This window comes from Homo sapiens, chromosome 14 (assembly GCF_000001405.40).
Source record: "Homo sapiens chromosome 14, GRCh38.p14 Primary Assembly".
NCBI classification, from domain to species: Eukaryota; Metazoa; Chordata; class Mammalia; order Primates; family Hominidae; genus Homo; species Homo sapiens.
Window position 1 is genome coordinate 49820670 of NC_000014.9, and position 16066 is coordinate 49836735.

Genomic DNA, 16066 nt, shown 5'->3' on the forward strand with positions numbered 1-16066 from the left:
CAAAGCTGGACTGTGCTGCTGCCATCTCGGCTCACTGCAACCTCCCTGCCTGATTCTCCTGCCTCAGCCTGCCGAGTGCCTGCGATTGCAGGTGCGTGCCGCCACGCCTGACTGGTTTTCGTATTTTTTTGGTGGAGATGGGGTTTCGCTGTGTTGGCCGGGCTGGTCTCCAGCTCCTAACCACGAGTGATCCGCCAGCCTCGGCATCCCAAGGTGCCGGGATTGCAGACGGAGTCTCGTTAACTCAGTGCTCCCCACCTGGGAAGTGAGGAGCGCCTCTTCCCGGCCGCCATCCCATCTAGGAAGTGAGGAGCGTCTCTGCCCGGCCGCCCATCATCTGAGATGTGGGGAGCACCTCTGCCCCGCCGCCCCGTCTGGGATGTGAGGAGCACCTCGGCCCGGCCGCGACCCCGTCTGGGAGGTGAGGAGCGTCTCTGCCCGGCCGCCCCGTCTGAGAAGTGAGGAGCCCCTCCGCCCGGCTGCCACCCCGTCTGGGAAGTGAGGAGCGTCTCCGCCCGGCAGCCACCACGCCCGGGAGGGAGGTGGGGGGGTCAGCCCCCGCCAGGCCAGCCGCCCCGTCCGGGAGGGAGGTGGGGGGCTCAGCCCCCCGCCCGGCCAGCCGCCCCGTCCGGGAGGGAGGTGGGGGGGGTCAGCCCCCCGCCCGGCCAGCCGCCCCGTCCGGGAGGGAGGTGGGGGGGGTCAGCCCCCCGCCCGGCCAGCCGCCCCGTCCGGGAGGGAGGTGGGAGGCTCAGCCCCCCGCCCGGCCAGCCGCCCCGTCCGGGAGGGAGGTGGGGGGGTCAGCCCCCCGCCCAGTCAGCCGCCCCGTCCAGGAGGTGAGGGGTGCCTCTGCCCGGCCGCCCCTACTGGGAAGTGAGGAGCCCCTCTGCCCGGCCAGCCGCCCCGTCCGGGAGGGAGGTGGGGGGGTCAGCCCCCCGCCCGGCCAGCTGCCCCGTCCGGGAGGGAGGTGGGGGGCTCAGCCCCCCGCCCGGCCAGCCGCCCCGTCCGGGAGGGAGGTGGGGGGCTCAGCCCCCCGCCCGGCCAGCCGCCCCGTCCAGGAGGTGAGGGGCGCCTCTGCCCGGCCGCCCCTACTGGGAAGTGAGGAGCCCCTCTGCCCAGCCACCACCCCGTCTGGGAGGAGGTACCCAACAGCTCATTGAGAATGGGCCATGATGACAATGGCGGTTTTGTGGAATAGAAAAGGGGGCAAGGTGGGGAAAAGATTGAGAAATTGGATGGTTGCTGTGTCTGTGTAGAAAGTAGTAGACATGGGAGACTTTTCATTTTGTTCTGTACTAAGAAAAATTCTTCTGCCTTGGGATCCTGTTGATCTATGACCTTACCCCCAACCCTGTGCTCTCTGAAACATGTGCTGTGTCCACTCAGGGTTAAATGGATTAAGGGCGGTGCAAGATGTGCTTTGTTAAACAGATGCTTGAAGGCAGCATGCTCGTTGAGAGTCATCACCACTCCCCAATCTCAAGTACCTAGGGACACAAACACTCTGCCTAGGAAAACCAGAGACCTTTGTTCACTTGTTTGCCTGCTGACCTTCCCTCCGCTGTTGTCCTATGACCCTGCCAAATCCCCCTCTGCGAGAAACACCCAAGAATGATCAATAAAAAAAAATAAAATAAAATAAAAATAAAAGAATGATGCACATTTTAATAAAAAAAAAAAAGAGGAAAAAAAAAAAGTACAAAAGTTAGCCGGGCATGGTGGCGCACACCTGTAGTCCCAGCTACTTGGGAGGCTGAGGCAGGAGAATCCCTTGAGCCTGGGAGGTGAAGGTTGCAGTGAGCCAAGATCGCACCACTGCACTCCAACATGGGCAACAGAGCTAGGACTCTGTCTCAAAGAAAAAAAAAGTAATAATGGCAGGGCCAGGCATGGTGGCTTTTATCTGTAATCCCAGCACTTTGGGAGGCTGAAGTGGGAGGATCACTTGAGCCCAGGAGTTCGAGATCAGCCTGGCCAACACTGAAAGATCCAGTCTCTACTTAAAAAAAAAAAAAAAAAAAAAAAAAAAAGAGGTAATGGTGGCCCTTTCCTCTCATTTATGCACTGCAGGGATGAAAAGGATGACAATGTCTATGTGTGTGATAGATTGTGGAAAGCCTACTGCCATGTTAAGTGAAGAAAGGGAGTATGTCTGCTGAAGAGATTAACTTCTGGTCTCCTATCAGTATGTGTGGTGTGGTAGGGGGACTGCATGACCTTAACTTTTTGTTCTTGAGAGGCCTAGCATTATCAGAGTCCCCTTAGAGATTTTTTTTTTTTTTTTTTTGGAGAAAGAGTCTTGCTCTGTCACCCAGGCTGGAGTGCAGTGGCACGATCTCGGCTTACTGAAACCTCTGCCTCCCAAGTTCAAGTGATTCTTGTGTCTCAGCCTCCCTAGTAGCTGGGATTACAGGCACCTGCCACCACACTCAGCTAATTTTTTTTGTATTTTTAGTAGAGATGGGTTTTCACCATGTTGGCCAGGTTGGTCTCAAACTCCTAACCCCCAGTGATCCACCTGTCTTGGTCTCCCAAAGTGCTAGGATTACATGGGTGAGCACCACTGTGCCCAGCCTAAATATATATAATTTAAAAAAATTTAAAAAGAAACAACTTGGAGAAGACAGAGACTTGCCAAAAAAGAATACTAAAAAAATTTAATACATCAAAACTATTCTCAGAGAGCTAAAAGAAACTAAAGCAGAAACTTATTTATTTTTTTAAAAAGGGTATATTCCAAGAACCAAAAAAAAAAAGTCCTCTCTTTTTTTGCCAGGAACATTATGTTGAAAAGAGAGTTCTTAAAATTAAAAACATGATAGGAAGTAATAAAATATTCAGTGGAAAGATTTGGTGGAAGATAAAGCTGAGGAAACTCCCAGGATGTAGAGCAAAACGATAGACTTGAAAATAGAAAATACAACAAAATTGGAGGACTGGTCTAGGGGGTTCCATATCTTAAAAACAAGATTTCCAGAAGGAAAAGAAAAAAGAAAGCAGAGGTCAGGCAGTTTTTCAAGAACTATTTCCAGAAAATGTCTCAGAACTGAAAGTTTCTGAATTAAAACAGCCCACAAAGTATCCAACATAATGGATTAAAACATCACCACCAACCCCAATTGTAAAATTTTGAAAAATTTGGAGAAAAAATTGGGAGGGGAGAAATATCTACAAGCTTGTAGAGAGGCAAAAACAAGTTTCATGTAAAATATCAACTATCAGCCAGGTGTGATGGCTCAAGCCTGTAATCCCAGCATTTTGGGAGGCTGAGGCGGGCAGATCACTTGAGGCCAAGAGTTAAGAGACCAGCATGGGCAACATGGCAGAAACCCTTCTCTACTAAACACACAAAAATTAGTTGGGCATGGTGGCGTGCACCTGTAATCCCAGCTACTCGGGAGGCTGAGACAGGAGAATCACTTGAACCCAGGAAGCGGAGGTTGCAGTGAGCCAAGATCATGCCACTGCACTCCAGCCTGGGCAACAAAGTGAGACTCTGTCTCAAAAAAAATAAAATAAATAAAATATCAACTATCAAAATAATACCAGATTTCTCAAGTTACTATAATGAAGCAATACCTTTAAAAGTCTGAGGAGGCGGGGCGTGGTGGCTCACGCCTGTAATCCCAACACTTTGGGAGGCTGAGGCGGGTGGAACACGAGGTCAGGAGTTTGAGACCAGGGTGGCAAGTAAGGTGAAACCCCATCTCTACTAAAAATACAAAAATTAGCCAGGCGTGGTGGTGGGTGCCTGTAATCCCAGCTACTCCAGAGGCTGAGGCATGAGAATCGCTTCAAACTGGAAGGCAGAGGTTACAGTGAGCCAAAGACTGCGCCACTGCACTCCAGCCTGGGCAATAAAAGTGAAATTCCGTCTCAAAAAAAAAAAAAAAAAGTCTGAGGAAAATATATTTTCATAGAATTCTATACTCAATTTTTTTTTTTAAGAGACGGGGTTTGGCATGTTGCACAGGCTAGTCTCGAACTCCAGAGGTCAAGAGGTCCACCCACCTCACCCTCCCAGAGTGCTGAGATTACAGGAATGGGCCACCATGCCCAGCCCACTCAAACTATAAGAGTAAAATGTTTTATACATTGGAGACCTCAAAAACTCTGCTTTCTATACACCCTTTCTTGTGAAGCTTCTGGAACACACACTCTTTCAACCAAGAAAGAAGTATGAGATCCAGAAAAGAGTTTCCAAAACAGAGAAGGATAAAGATAACAATAAAAAGAAAAGTGTACGATGCTTAGAGAGAACCAATATAAAATTAAGTAAGTCAAAAAGCTCCAGGAGAGACTTCTGACCTCTGCAAGATGATACTGATTGAATTCCAATGTGTCTGAACACACTTGGAAGATATTATTTAGATAAATTAGTGATAAGAACAAAAATAAAAAGCAAATGAAATGACAATTAATAACTCCAGGGAAGATTTTTAAAACTGAGCAAGGAAGGAAAAAGAAAACAGAATTCTATGTGGGTCAGCTATGACATATAAATTATATGACTACAATTTAAATATTTATAATGATGCCAATGCTATTAATCTTGACAAAATTATGCTGTAACTGTGTGTGTATGTAATGGAACACAAGTGGAAAGAGGGAAATCCTCATCTTTCCCAGTGGGAAGTTAGTAAGAATATAAAACAGAAAAATTAAGAAGTAGCAATATAAACATATTACTAAGATAAATAAAGGCAAATATCAAAAGAATCAACTAAAAGAGCTAAAAGTGGTTTCCTTCGGAGAGCAGGCAATAGGAGTAAAGGTGAGGAACTGGAGAACTAGCTGAGTGCAGAAGCGTATGCCTGTAATCCAGCACTGAGGCTGAGGCAGGAGGATCTCTTGAGCCTAGAAGTTTGAGACCAGCCTGGGCAACAAAGTGAGACCCTGCCTCTACAAAAAATTAAAAAATTAGCTGGGCACAGTGGCATGTGCCTGTAGTCTCAGCTACTTGGGAGGCTGAGGTGGGAGAACTGTCAGAGCCCAGGAGGTCAATGCTACAGTGAGCCATGTTCATGCCACTGTATTCCACCCTGGGTGACAGAGAACCTGTCTCAAACAAACCAACAAAAAATTGCAGAGCTACTGGTTTTGTAACAAGCTTTGTAGAACTGTTTGACTTTTCTAAACAATGTGCATGGATAATTTTAATAAAAACAAAAACTGTATTTGAAAGAGACAGAACACTTACCAATATACTTTTCTTGCTTTTTGAATAGAGGTAACAGTCTGAACTTCTTTTAATGTTTGCTTTGTTTTCTTTTCTGCTGACTTGAATGCCTATTTATAGAAAAGAGTTTTAAAAACAATTTGTTAAGAATGTATTTAAATAACACCAAAGTAAATAATGGGGCAAGAATTTTTTTAAATGTCACAAAATGGCACAATCTACACACACACACACAAACACACACACACACAAATACGCATACTTGAAAGTAATGAAGAAATGAAAATATTTTTGCCTGAAGTATTAAAATAATCTAAACTAAAGAATTACTACATGAAAATATTTGCCCAAGACCTACAAAGTAATAAATACCTTGTCATTTTCTAGATACTGAGTACCTATCATATGCTTGGTTCTAGGCTAGATGCCATTAGAGATATAAGAGTGAACAAGATGGACAAAGCCCCCACTCCCACCCCACTAGGTCTAGAAGAGACAACTATTAATCATATAATCCTTTAAATAAATATATAATGGTGAGTGCTTCTAAAGATGCTACAGGAATATAACAAGGAAACCCGATTTACACTGGGTTATGGTCAAAGAAGGTATCTCTGAGGAAATGACATTTAAGCTGAATCCTCAACGACTAACGGGGTTATCAGGCAAAGAATAGGAAAAAGGGCATTACAAGCAAAAAAAAAAAAAAAAAAAAGACCAGCAAGTACAGCAAGTAGTAATCAAGGGCATAATGTCAAGAAATGAGGTTGAAGCAATAGACAGAGGGCCAAGTCATGAAGGCCACTCATTTAACAGCTATTAAAGTGCCTACTCTGTGCCAGGCAATATTCCAGGGATTGGGATGCAGCAATGAACAACACAAAGATTCTACTTTCATGCAATCTATATTCTAGAGGGAATCCAGAAAAAATATTCAAATAAACATATGTTGGGCTGGGGGGAGTGTTTTTCAAGAAGAAAATAAGGCAAAATAAAGAGAGATTCAGGGTGGTACTATCGTTAGTAATGAGCGGTCAAGGAAGGATTCTCTGATTAAATCTCATTTAAGTGGATATGTAAATGAAGAGAGGGGTCAAACTGAAAATTCCAGGTAGAGAGAACAGCAAGGGCAAAGACCCTGAGAGGGGAGCACGTGTCATTATTTTATGAACAGCTAAGATCCCAGTGTAGCCAGAAAGAGTGTATGAGAGGAGGAATGCAGGTGTTGAGGTCAGAGGGGAGGAGATCTCCCGTCCTTCTTGCAGGATAGGAGAAGGGCTCTGAATTGTATTAAGATGGGAAGCAACTGGAAGAGAAAAAGGACTTCACTTTTGATTTATTTATTTTAATATATTTTTTGAGACGGAGTCTCGCTCTGTCTCCCAGGCTAGAGTGCAATGGCATGATCTCAGCTCACTGCAACCTCCACCTCCCGGGTTCATTAGATTCTCCCACCTCAGCCGCCCAAGTAGCTGGGATTACAGGTACCCGCCATCACCTCAGGCTAATTTTTGTATTTTCAGTAGATATGGGGTTTCACCATGTTGGCCAGGCTGGTCTCAAACTCCTGGCTTCAAGCGATCCACCGGCCTCGGCCTTCCAAAGTGCTGGAATTACAGGCGTCAACCACCACACCCAGTCTTCACTTTTGATTCAAAAGGATCACAACGGGGCTAGGCATGGTGGCTCACACCTGTAATCCCAGCACTTTGGGAGGCCGAAGGTCAAGGCCTGAAGCGGGCGGATCACCTGAGGTCAGCAGTTTGAGACCAAGCTGACCAACATGGTGAAACCCTGTCTCTACTAAAACTACAAAAATTAGCTGGGTGTGGTGGCGGGCGCCTGTAATCCCAGCTACTTAGGAGGCTGAGGTGGGAGAATCGCTTGAACCTGGGAGGCAGAAGTTGCAGTGAGCTGAGATCAAGCCATTGCACTCCAGCCTGAGCAATAAGAGTGAAACTCCATCGCAAAAAAAAAAAAGGGTCACAATGGCTGCTATGTGGAGAACAGACTGTAGTGGGAAAAGAGGAGGAGGAGAGAGATCCAATAAGAGGCTACTTGTCATAGTCCATGTGAACACAGAGGTGATAGGGGACTGATCAGTGGAAATAATGAGTAGTAGCCAGATTCTGGCTGTACTTTAAAGAAAGAACCAAAGGATTTACTGATGGATTGCATGATTTATGGGAAAAGAGTCCAGGATATCACAAACATTTTTAACCTGAGTGAACAGAAAAATGAAGGTGTTATTTACTGAGATGAGGAAGAATAGGGGAGGAGCAGTCCTGGGGGGAAAAAATACTGGAAATACATATATTTAAAGCAAAGTTAAGTTTGAAAGATACTTCTGAATTAGAAAACCTCATTTAAACAGAAGAAATAATTATGTCCATTAAATTACGCAGGCACAAACAACTAACATTCACTCTAAGAAATACTCAGTACCTTCTCAGCAGCTTCAACAGTCTTTTGTGTTTTCTTAGCAGCATATCTCTTGTGATCATAATACCTAGAAAAACATATTTCTCTTAAATTTTAAGTATAATATTTATTCTTCAGTTTTCTACTTAGTTCTAACTTGACAAATTCTCAAATTATACAGAACAAATCAGAACAAACTGTATAATTAACAAAACTAAATTTAAAAAAGTATTTTCACCCAAAAAAAGTATGCATGTACAAGTGAAATTTAAAATTTTTTAAAATGTCCTTAATTCCTTAATTTATTGCAGATAACACTTGGCCTAAAATGTAAAGTTAAATGACTTACTTTTTGGCATTGGCATATGCTGACAAGCTGAGATCAACATCTACAAGTAAGGGCTTATTTTTCTGAGGCTTCTGCAGCTGTTTATTCTTTTGTTTTTTCTTTTTTCCTTTTGGTGGTTCAGTTTCATTTTTCTCAACATTGACGTCACCATCAACATCATCATCTTCCTCCTCTGATAACAAGTATGGATTTCTATTAAAAATATTCAATAGCATTTCACTAACGTCAATGACATCACTTTTATTTTCAATTTTCTTCTTCAATAAAATTATAAATGGTTTACAGTACTGGAAGTTTCATTATTTATTTTAATCTAAATTAGTTTTTTCCCTTTCTTTGAGAATTTCAAAATATGAAGAAAAAATGTTTAATACAGTGAACAATTAAAATAACAAAATAAAGACAAGCATTAACTGCTTGACTAAGAGTCAAACTTACCTTAGCAGCATTGTAACATGGTTTGTTTGTAGTTTTAATTCTTTGATTGCACTTGCAACAGGGTCTCCTTGAGCCTGGGCTTCTTTCACAATTAACCCAATTTCTGTCCAATCTATCTGGTTAGCTAAAGCACTTCGAACTACCTGAATGGCTCTGTCAACTATTTGTAGGTTCATTTCTATGAGCTCTCCTTTCAGTTTGTCTATTTCCTTAAAAAACAAACCACACACATTTACTACATTGCCAGTTAAAGTTAACATTTTTGAAAAAGCACTGAGAAAGCCAAACATAATACCTGAGCCTGCTGAAGAGCTTCCAATCTGTTTTCGTGATCCTTTCGAACATTATCTAATTTCTTCAATGCTTGCTTTTCCTTTTATTGGCAAAACAGATTTTTTAAAAATTAGATTTCTCCTACCTCATGACATCCCTCTCTTACTTCCCAACACTCACTATCCTGACCCCATCTATGCTGTTATCTAGCTAGCTGAAGTTCCCATAGTCTACCACCCTAGGCCTATCCCACTACAATGCGTTCCATGCCCCAAAATTACTTCTCCTGTCTTCCTAACTCCCACTCCTTATATAGAAAGGTATTTTGATTACAGGTTACTGTGTATATAAGATATACCCCTAATACCCTTGGCATTATTCAAACAGGCAGAAATCAAGACATTTTTTCCTATGGCACAAAAGTAAAGTTTGGGAGAACGAATTCTTTATTTTTTTTTAAATAATAGAGACCGGGTCCCGCTATGTTGCCCAGGCTGCTCTCCAATGTCTGAGCTCAATCCTCCCACCTTGGCCTCCCAGAGTGCTGGGATTACAGGCCTGAGCCACTGCACCTGGCAGGGAATGAATTCCCAAAGAGCATAAATTACCAAATGACTTTGTATTTTTTGCTACTTTTGATTTTCTCACAACTATTTCCAGTATTTTACAGAAACTTTTTCCCCTAAATTAATAAGACAAAGGCTCATGGTAGTTATTTGGCATTTTATCATATATACTTTACATTTCAAGGTTATCAATTGGGGGACAAAATTTCTAACACTAGTAATATCATCAATTAATGAGTATTTAAATGCTAGATGAAATATTTTTTAAAATTTAGATAAGAATGATGACTATTAAAACCCACAAAATAATTACCAAAATAAATCACTAGTATTTTGACACCCATGAAACCATGGGGTTCAGTTTACTAGCCAAAGTGCTGCCACCATGTGGTAATTACATGATGTATATAATTCATCTGACTGGCCTACCTGCTTTGAAATTGTGCTATGATTAACTAATTTTTAAAAACTGAAGAGGAAGTGGTACAGGGATTCAAACAATTTGATTTTTTTTTCTTTAAGGCAGAGTCTCACTCTGTCACCCAGGCTGGAGTGCAGTGGCACAGTCTCAGCTCATTGCAACCTCCGCCTCCCAGGGTCAAACAATTTTTGTGCCTCAGGCTCCTGAGTAGCTGGACACCCATACCACACCCCATTAATTTTTGTATTTCCAGCAGAGACAGGTTTTCACCATGCTGGCCAGGCTGTTCTTGAACTCCTGACCTCAAGTGATCTGCCCGCCTCGGCCTCCCAAAGTGCTGGGATTTACAGGCGTGCGCCACCGCGCCCAGCCTCAAATAATTTGAAATTTTTGCACACATATTTTAAGACTGTTTTTGAAAAAATCAAATCCCCTTCAAATCAAGAGTGACTATTAACAATTTATGAAACTGTTCTGCAGCAAATGCTCTAAAAACATGGTCAAATGTGCTGGGAAAATACTGTATATCACTTCTTTTGGAGTCATGATACACAGAAAACATATTAAGACTTGGCTTTAAAGTCCATTTAAAAAAGAAACAGTTTAATGATAAACAATATCCCCTCCTCTGGCCTATTTAAAATCTCCCTAAAACAGTATCTCCTTAACAGCAATGTTTGAGAAGCTTTGGGTTGTTCTGAGCAAACCACATTAAGGTGTAAATAACAGGCCTCACGTTCCCACCGTATTTTCCTTTTTTTACAGAATATCTGAAATACTCATGAAACAAATGAGGACATACTTTTCAACAATAAAATCCCCCATGGACCTTCTTCATAAACCTTTATCATAAATAAAGAGGCAGGTCAGAGAGTTCCCATACTACTTCTTACACTCTTTCTGAAAGGCTACCCTTTCCTATATCATCTACCCATCAAGCCGCTAAAGACTAGCTGGTTTAATATGTGTTTTTAATAATACATACCTGTTGTAAAGCTTTTAAGTCAATTTTCTGGCCTTCTATCTTGGAATAAAATTCATCCACCGCCTTATTAAAAAAACAAACAACTAGTTGGAAAAAAAAGCACAGTCTCTACTTCAACTTGCATACACAGAATTTTATTTTTTTTTTCTTTTTTTTTGAGACAGAGTCTCACTCTGTTGCCCAGGCGGGACTGCAGTGGCGCGATCTAGGCTCACTGCAACTTCCACCTCCGAGGTTCAAGTGATTCTCCTGCCTCAGCCTCTCAAACAGCTGGGACTACAGGTGCACCCCACCACACACCGCTAATTTTTGTAGTTTTTCAGAGACAGGGTTTCACTGTGTTGGCCAGACTGGTCTTGAACTCCTGACCTCAACTGATCTGCCTGCCTTGGCCTCCCAAAATGCTGAGATTATAGGCATGAGCCAGCAAGCCCAGCTGCATACACAGAATTTTAGATTCCATTGTGTTTCATAACACCACTCAAAGAACTTGAACAGATTTCCGGTAAATGTATTATATGGCTAAACAGTATCAAGAATCAAATGAAGTTCAAACCTCTGGTCCTTCATCCTGAAATAAAGTGGCAACAATTATTTCCAACAGCTGTATCTGTGACGACACTGATCTTTAATGCCCAGATTCACAGTGAATGTAAAGCAAGTATAGTTTCAGTTTCTCAATAGAAGCAAGTTGATATCAACAGCTCATATCATGCTAACTAACTGGTAAAGGAACAGAACGGAAAACCCACCTTGTCAAATGATTCAAATTCTATATATGGACATTGTGAATGTTGAGAAAACAAGAAAGGATGAAATTCCTCATACCTGTAAAACATATTTATTATATCACATTCGAGAACATTAACAAACATCCAAAGCAAATTGACCCATGCCTATATGCTTACGTCAGTATGTCTTCAACTGGTTTATCTGCTTCCAAGCTTGGTTTTATTTCTCTTTTCTGAATGATATATCCCTACAAAAATGCAACATTAAAATCATTCCTATTCATAATTAACAAAGATTTACTTCTTTTTTTTTTTTTTGATACAGTCGCGCTCGCTCCATCACCCAGGCTGGAGTGCAGTGGTATATTCTCGGCTCACTGCAACCTCTGCCTCCCGGGTTCAAGCAATTCTCATGCCTCAGCCTCCCAAGTAGCTGGGATTACAGGTGTGTGCCACCATACCTGGCTAATTTTTGTATTTTTAGTAGAGACAGGGGTTTTGCCATGATGGCCAGGGTGGTGTCGAACTCTTGGTCTCAAGTGATCCGCCCACCTTGGCCTCCAAAAGTGCTGAGATCACAGGTGTGAGCCACTGCACCTAAAAATTTAGTTTCTGTGACTGATATTAATTTGCACCTAATCCAAAGGTTTACTTTCTATGACTGATATTAATTTTAATTTTCTATAAATAGTTATGCTTTGAAAAGGGAAGAAAAACACTCATAAGCTACTAGGTAATTCAAAAAATATTTAATGGTTGGGAGCTGTAAATCACAACATTTTTGAAAAGGGCTGACAAATGAAAATGTGCTTCTCTATCTGAAACTAAAGAAATAACTGTAAATTCCTCAACTTTTCTGAAGAGCCGATACTAACCTGACATTGTACTTTCTATAAAAGATAGGGAACAGAAAAAAACTTATAAACCAACAAAAACTTTTAAAACACTATCCTGGGCCGGGTGCAGTGGCCCATGTCTATAATCCCAGCACTTTGGGAGGCCAAGGCAGGCGGATCACTTGAGGTCAGGAGTTCGAGACCAGCCTGGCCAACACGGTGAAACCTCATCTCTACTGAAAATATAAAAACTGTCCAGGCATGGTGGCACGTGCCTGTAGTCCCAGCTACTCGGGAGGCTGAGACAGGAGAATCACTTCAACCAGGGAAGCAGAGGTTGCAATGAGCCAAGATCATGCCACTGCACTCCAGCCTGGGTAACAGAGCAAGACTGTCTCAAAAAACAAAACAAAAAAACTATCCTGGAATAAGCATATTACAGATAACAATTTTCCAAATTAAAATAAAATGTATATATAATGATCCTTTAATGAACGTTTAATTTCTGAAAACCCAAATAAATCACAACAATATATAGTAAGTATACATGGTGCTACCTTCCCACTGAAGTTGGATGTTGTTTTCATATAGTCTTCTGCTTTCTGCAGAGAAACAAGTACTTTTTCAATATCTAATGGTGGGGGAAAAAAAGGAAAAAAGGAGTGCCAATCAAGTGTCAATTAACCGTGGCTAAACAACTATGTAGAAAAACAGGAAAGTGCTTACAAAATAATGTTGCGTTCAAGAAAATTAGAGATAGTGATTTCATGTTTATAACCAGTATATGTGGATATATGGTTTCATTTTGAACAGCCTGTTGTCCAAGTAGCTTTTATTGAATCATCCACCTTTCCCTCCATGACCTGAAAGGAACTTTGTTCATAAACTAAATTCCCATATTATTTCAAATTATTTTTGGAATCTTTATGCTATTCCTTCTCCAAAAACTTACAGTTTTAATTACTATAGCTTCATATTTTAATCTGTGAAGGGTTACACAGACAGTAATAAATCATTACTAGTATTTTCCAGAGTTATCCTGAACATTTTCACATGCTTTTGCTCCATATAAACATCAGAGTCATTTTATAAAAACAAACAAAAACAAAACACCACCACCAGCACCTGTTGTCATTTTATGAGTGCACTGATTTAGTATATTGCAGAAACTAAAACATTCACTAAAATCTCATTCAATTTTTTTTTTTGAGAGTGGTGATACTTGTTTTTGTGGGGTTTTTTGAGATGGGGGTCTCACTCTGTTGCTCAGGCTGGAGTGCAGCTGTGCAGTCACCACCCACTGCAGCCTCAAACACCCAGGCTTAAGTGATCCTCCCACCTTAGCCTCCCAAAGTGCTGGGATTGCAGGCATGAGCCAGTGTGCCTGGTCAAATGTTTTTCATTCTAGAACCACCTGCTCCCTTATTACTTTCCCAGAAAAAATTTTCATAGTTTAAAAAAAATGAAATAAATGAAAAATGTACCATGCAGACATACCTTTAGTTTCAAGTTTTTCATCCACTTTGACATTACCCGAGAATCCATTTTCTAAAAGACAGTGTTCAATGAGAGCTGGTCCATAGGCTATAAATGCAGAGGATATTACTTTTAGTATTTTCCTATAAATTCTTTTTTGTTTTTGTTTTTTGAGATGGAGTTTTACCCGTCGCCCAGGCCGGAGTGCAATGGTGCAATCTTGGCTCACTGCAACCTCTGCCTCCCACCTCCTGCCTCAGCCTCCTGAGTAGCTGGGATCACAAGCACCCACCACCATGCCCAGCTAATTTTTGTATTTTTAGTAGGGACAAGGTTTCACCATGTTGTCCAGGCTGGTCTCGAACTCCTAACCTCAGGTGATCCACTCACCTCAACCTCCAAAAGTGCTCAGATTACAGGTGTGGGCCACCATGACCTAGCCTAAAATTTAACATTCAAAATATAGCACAAATTTATTTCCCAATATCAATGATCTACTCAATAACAGTGGCTGGTGAAAACAATAAGTTTACTTATTTTGAAGTGTTACTTAGAAATGACAATTCTAGTTCTTAGACTGGGTGCGGTGGCTCATGCCTATAATCCCGGCACTTTGGGAGGCCAAGGCAGGCAGATCACCTGAGGTCGGGAGTTGGAGACCAGCCTGACCAACATGGAGAAACCCCATCTCTACTAAGAATACAATAAATTAGCCAGGCGTGGTGGCACATGCCTGTAATCCCAGCTACTCAGGAGGCTGAGGCAGGAGAATCACTTGAACCCGGGAGGCGGAGGCTGTGGCGAGCCAAGATCGTGCCATTGCACTGCAGCCTGGGCAACAAGAGTGAAACTCCGTCCCCCGCCCCACCCCGCAACCAAAAAAAAAAAAAAAAATGACAATTCTAGTCCTTAAAGAAATTTGAAACTACAATTAACTTACAAAAGTCAGTGCAAGTTATAGGAATTTAATGGGCTTCAACCACAATGAGGATTTATCCCTGGAATGCAAGGTTGGTTTGGCAACCAAAAATTGGTTAATATAATACTCCATATTGATAAAATAAAGGAAAAGAGCCATATATCATTTCAATAGATGCAGAAAAAGCATTTGACAAAATTCAACACTAATTCCTAATAAAAACTCTCAATAAACTAGGAATAGAGGGAGCATTCTCAACCTTATAAGGACACCTATGAAAAACCTACAGCTAACATGATAATTACTGGTGAAGGACTGAATATTATCCCCCTAAGATCAGGAACAAGGAAAGAATATTCAGTCTCACACTGCTATTCAACATTGTACTGGAAGCTATAGCTAGCACAATAAGGCAAATTAATTAATAGCATTCAGATTCTAAAGGAAGAAGTAAAGCATCCTTATTCACAGATGACATGATCCTGTACCTTAAAAAATCCTAAGGAACCCACAAAAAAACCCTACTAGAATGAATAAACAAGTTTATCAGGTTTGCAGGATACAAAAACCAATATATAGAAATCAATTGTATTTCTATGCAAAAATGAAATTAAGAAAATTCCACTGACAATAGCATCAAAAAGAATAGAATGTTTAGGAATAAATCTAACTGAGAGAAATTAAAGATCTAAATAAATAGTCAGACATTCTCTCTTCATAGAAGACTCAATGTAGTTAAAACGGCAATTCTCCCCAAACTGATCCACAGACTTAATGTAATCCTTACCAGGCCAGGCAGTGGCTCACAGCTGTAATTGAGACCAGCCTGGCCAAGAAGGTGAAACCCCATCTCTACTAAAAACACAAAACTTAGTGGGTGTAGTGGCATACACTTGTAATCCCAGCTACGTGGGAGGCTGAGGCAAGACAATCACTTGAACCCAGGAAATGGAGGTTGCAGTGAGCCGAGATCATGCCACTGCACTCCAGCCTGGGCAACAGAATGAGATTGTCTCAAATAATAGTAATAATGTAATCCTTATCAAAATCCTATGAGGCTTTTTTCATAGAAAGTAACAAGTCAACTCTAAATTTTATAAGGAAATGCTGGCCGAGCGCAGTTGCTCACGCCTGTAATCCCAGCACTTTGGGAGGCTGAGGCGGGCAGACTGCTTGAGTTCAGGAGTTCGAGACCAACCTGGACAACATGGTAAAACCCTGTCTCTACCAAAAAATAGAAAAATTAGCCAGGAGTTCATCCCTGTAGTCCCAGCTACTTGTGGGGCTGAGGCAGGAGATGGCCTGAACCTGGGAGGTGGAAGCTGCAGTGAGCAGTGTTCGTGGCACCGCACTTCAGCCTGGGCAACAGAGCGAGACCCTTGGGAAATGCAGAAGATCTTTTGAAATGCCAAATGCCAAAACTCTTTTGAAAAAAAAAAAGTGAACAGTTAAGAGGACATGTAAGTTGAGTATCC

At 41.9% G+C, this 16066-nt stretch overlaps 1 protein-coding gene across 8 annotated transcripts in view, besides 1 other annotated feature; it reads right to left on the bottom strand.

Moving 5' to 3' along the window:
- Window positions 1-16066, bottom strand: part of NEMF (nuclear export mediator factor) — a 70706-nt gene that overhangs the window by 38587 nt on the left and 16053 nt on the right. For 6 of the 8 annotated variants that reach the window (XR_943557.4, NM_001301732.3, NM_004713.6 and 3 more), the window contains exons 7-16: window positions 13694-13780; window positions 12754-12827; window positions 11538-11608; window positions 11382-11457; window positions 10630-10692; window positions 8680-8757; window positions 8385-8593; window positions 7947-8138; window positions 7622-7685; window positions 5198-5286 (exon numbers count right to left, since the gene is read on the bottom strand). Coding sequence is in view for 7 of the 8 variants with exons in the window: in NM_001301732.3 (NP_001288661.2) it covers window positions 5198-5286; window positions 7622-7685; window positions 7947-8138; window positions 8385-8593; window positions 8680-8757; window positions 10630-10692; window positions 11382-11457; window positions 11538-11608; window positions 12754-12827; window positions 13694-13780 (1003 nt within the window). In the remaining variant the exon portion in view is untranslated. The remainder of the gene's footprint in view (window positions 1-5197; window positions 5287-7621; window positions 7686-7946; window positions 8139-8384; window positions 8594-8679; window positions 8758-10629; window positions 10693-11381; window positions 11458-11537; window positions 11609-12753; window positions 12828-13693; window positions 13781-16066) is intronic. The other 2 variants (XM_047431912.1, XM_017021761.2) reach the window with 1 other exon arrangement.
- Window positions 987-1719: an enhancer, noted in NCBI's record as "NANOG-H3K27ac hESC enhancer chr14:50288374-50289106 (GRCh37/hg19 assembly coordinates)". NCBI's record gives its function as "activates a minimal SCP1, AML or CMV promoter by ChIP-STARR-seq in naive H9 embryonic stem cells {active_cell/tissue: H9 hESC(naive)}" and the evidence as "EXISTENCE:reporter gene assay evidence [ECO:0000049][PMID:30033119]".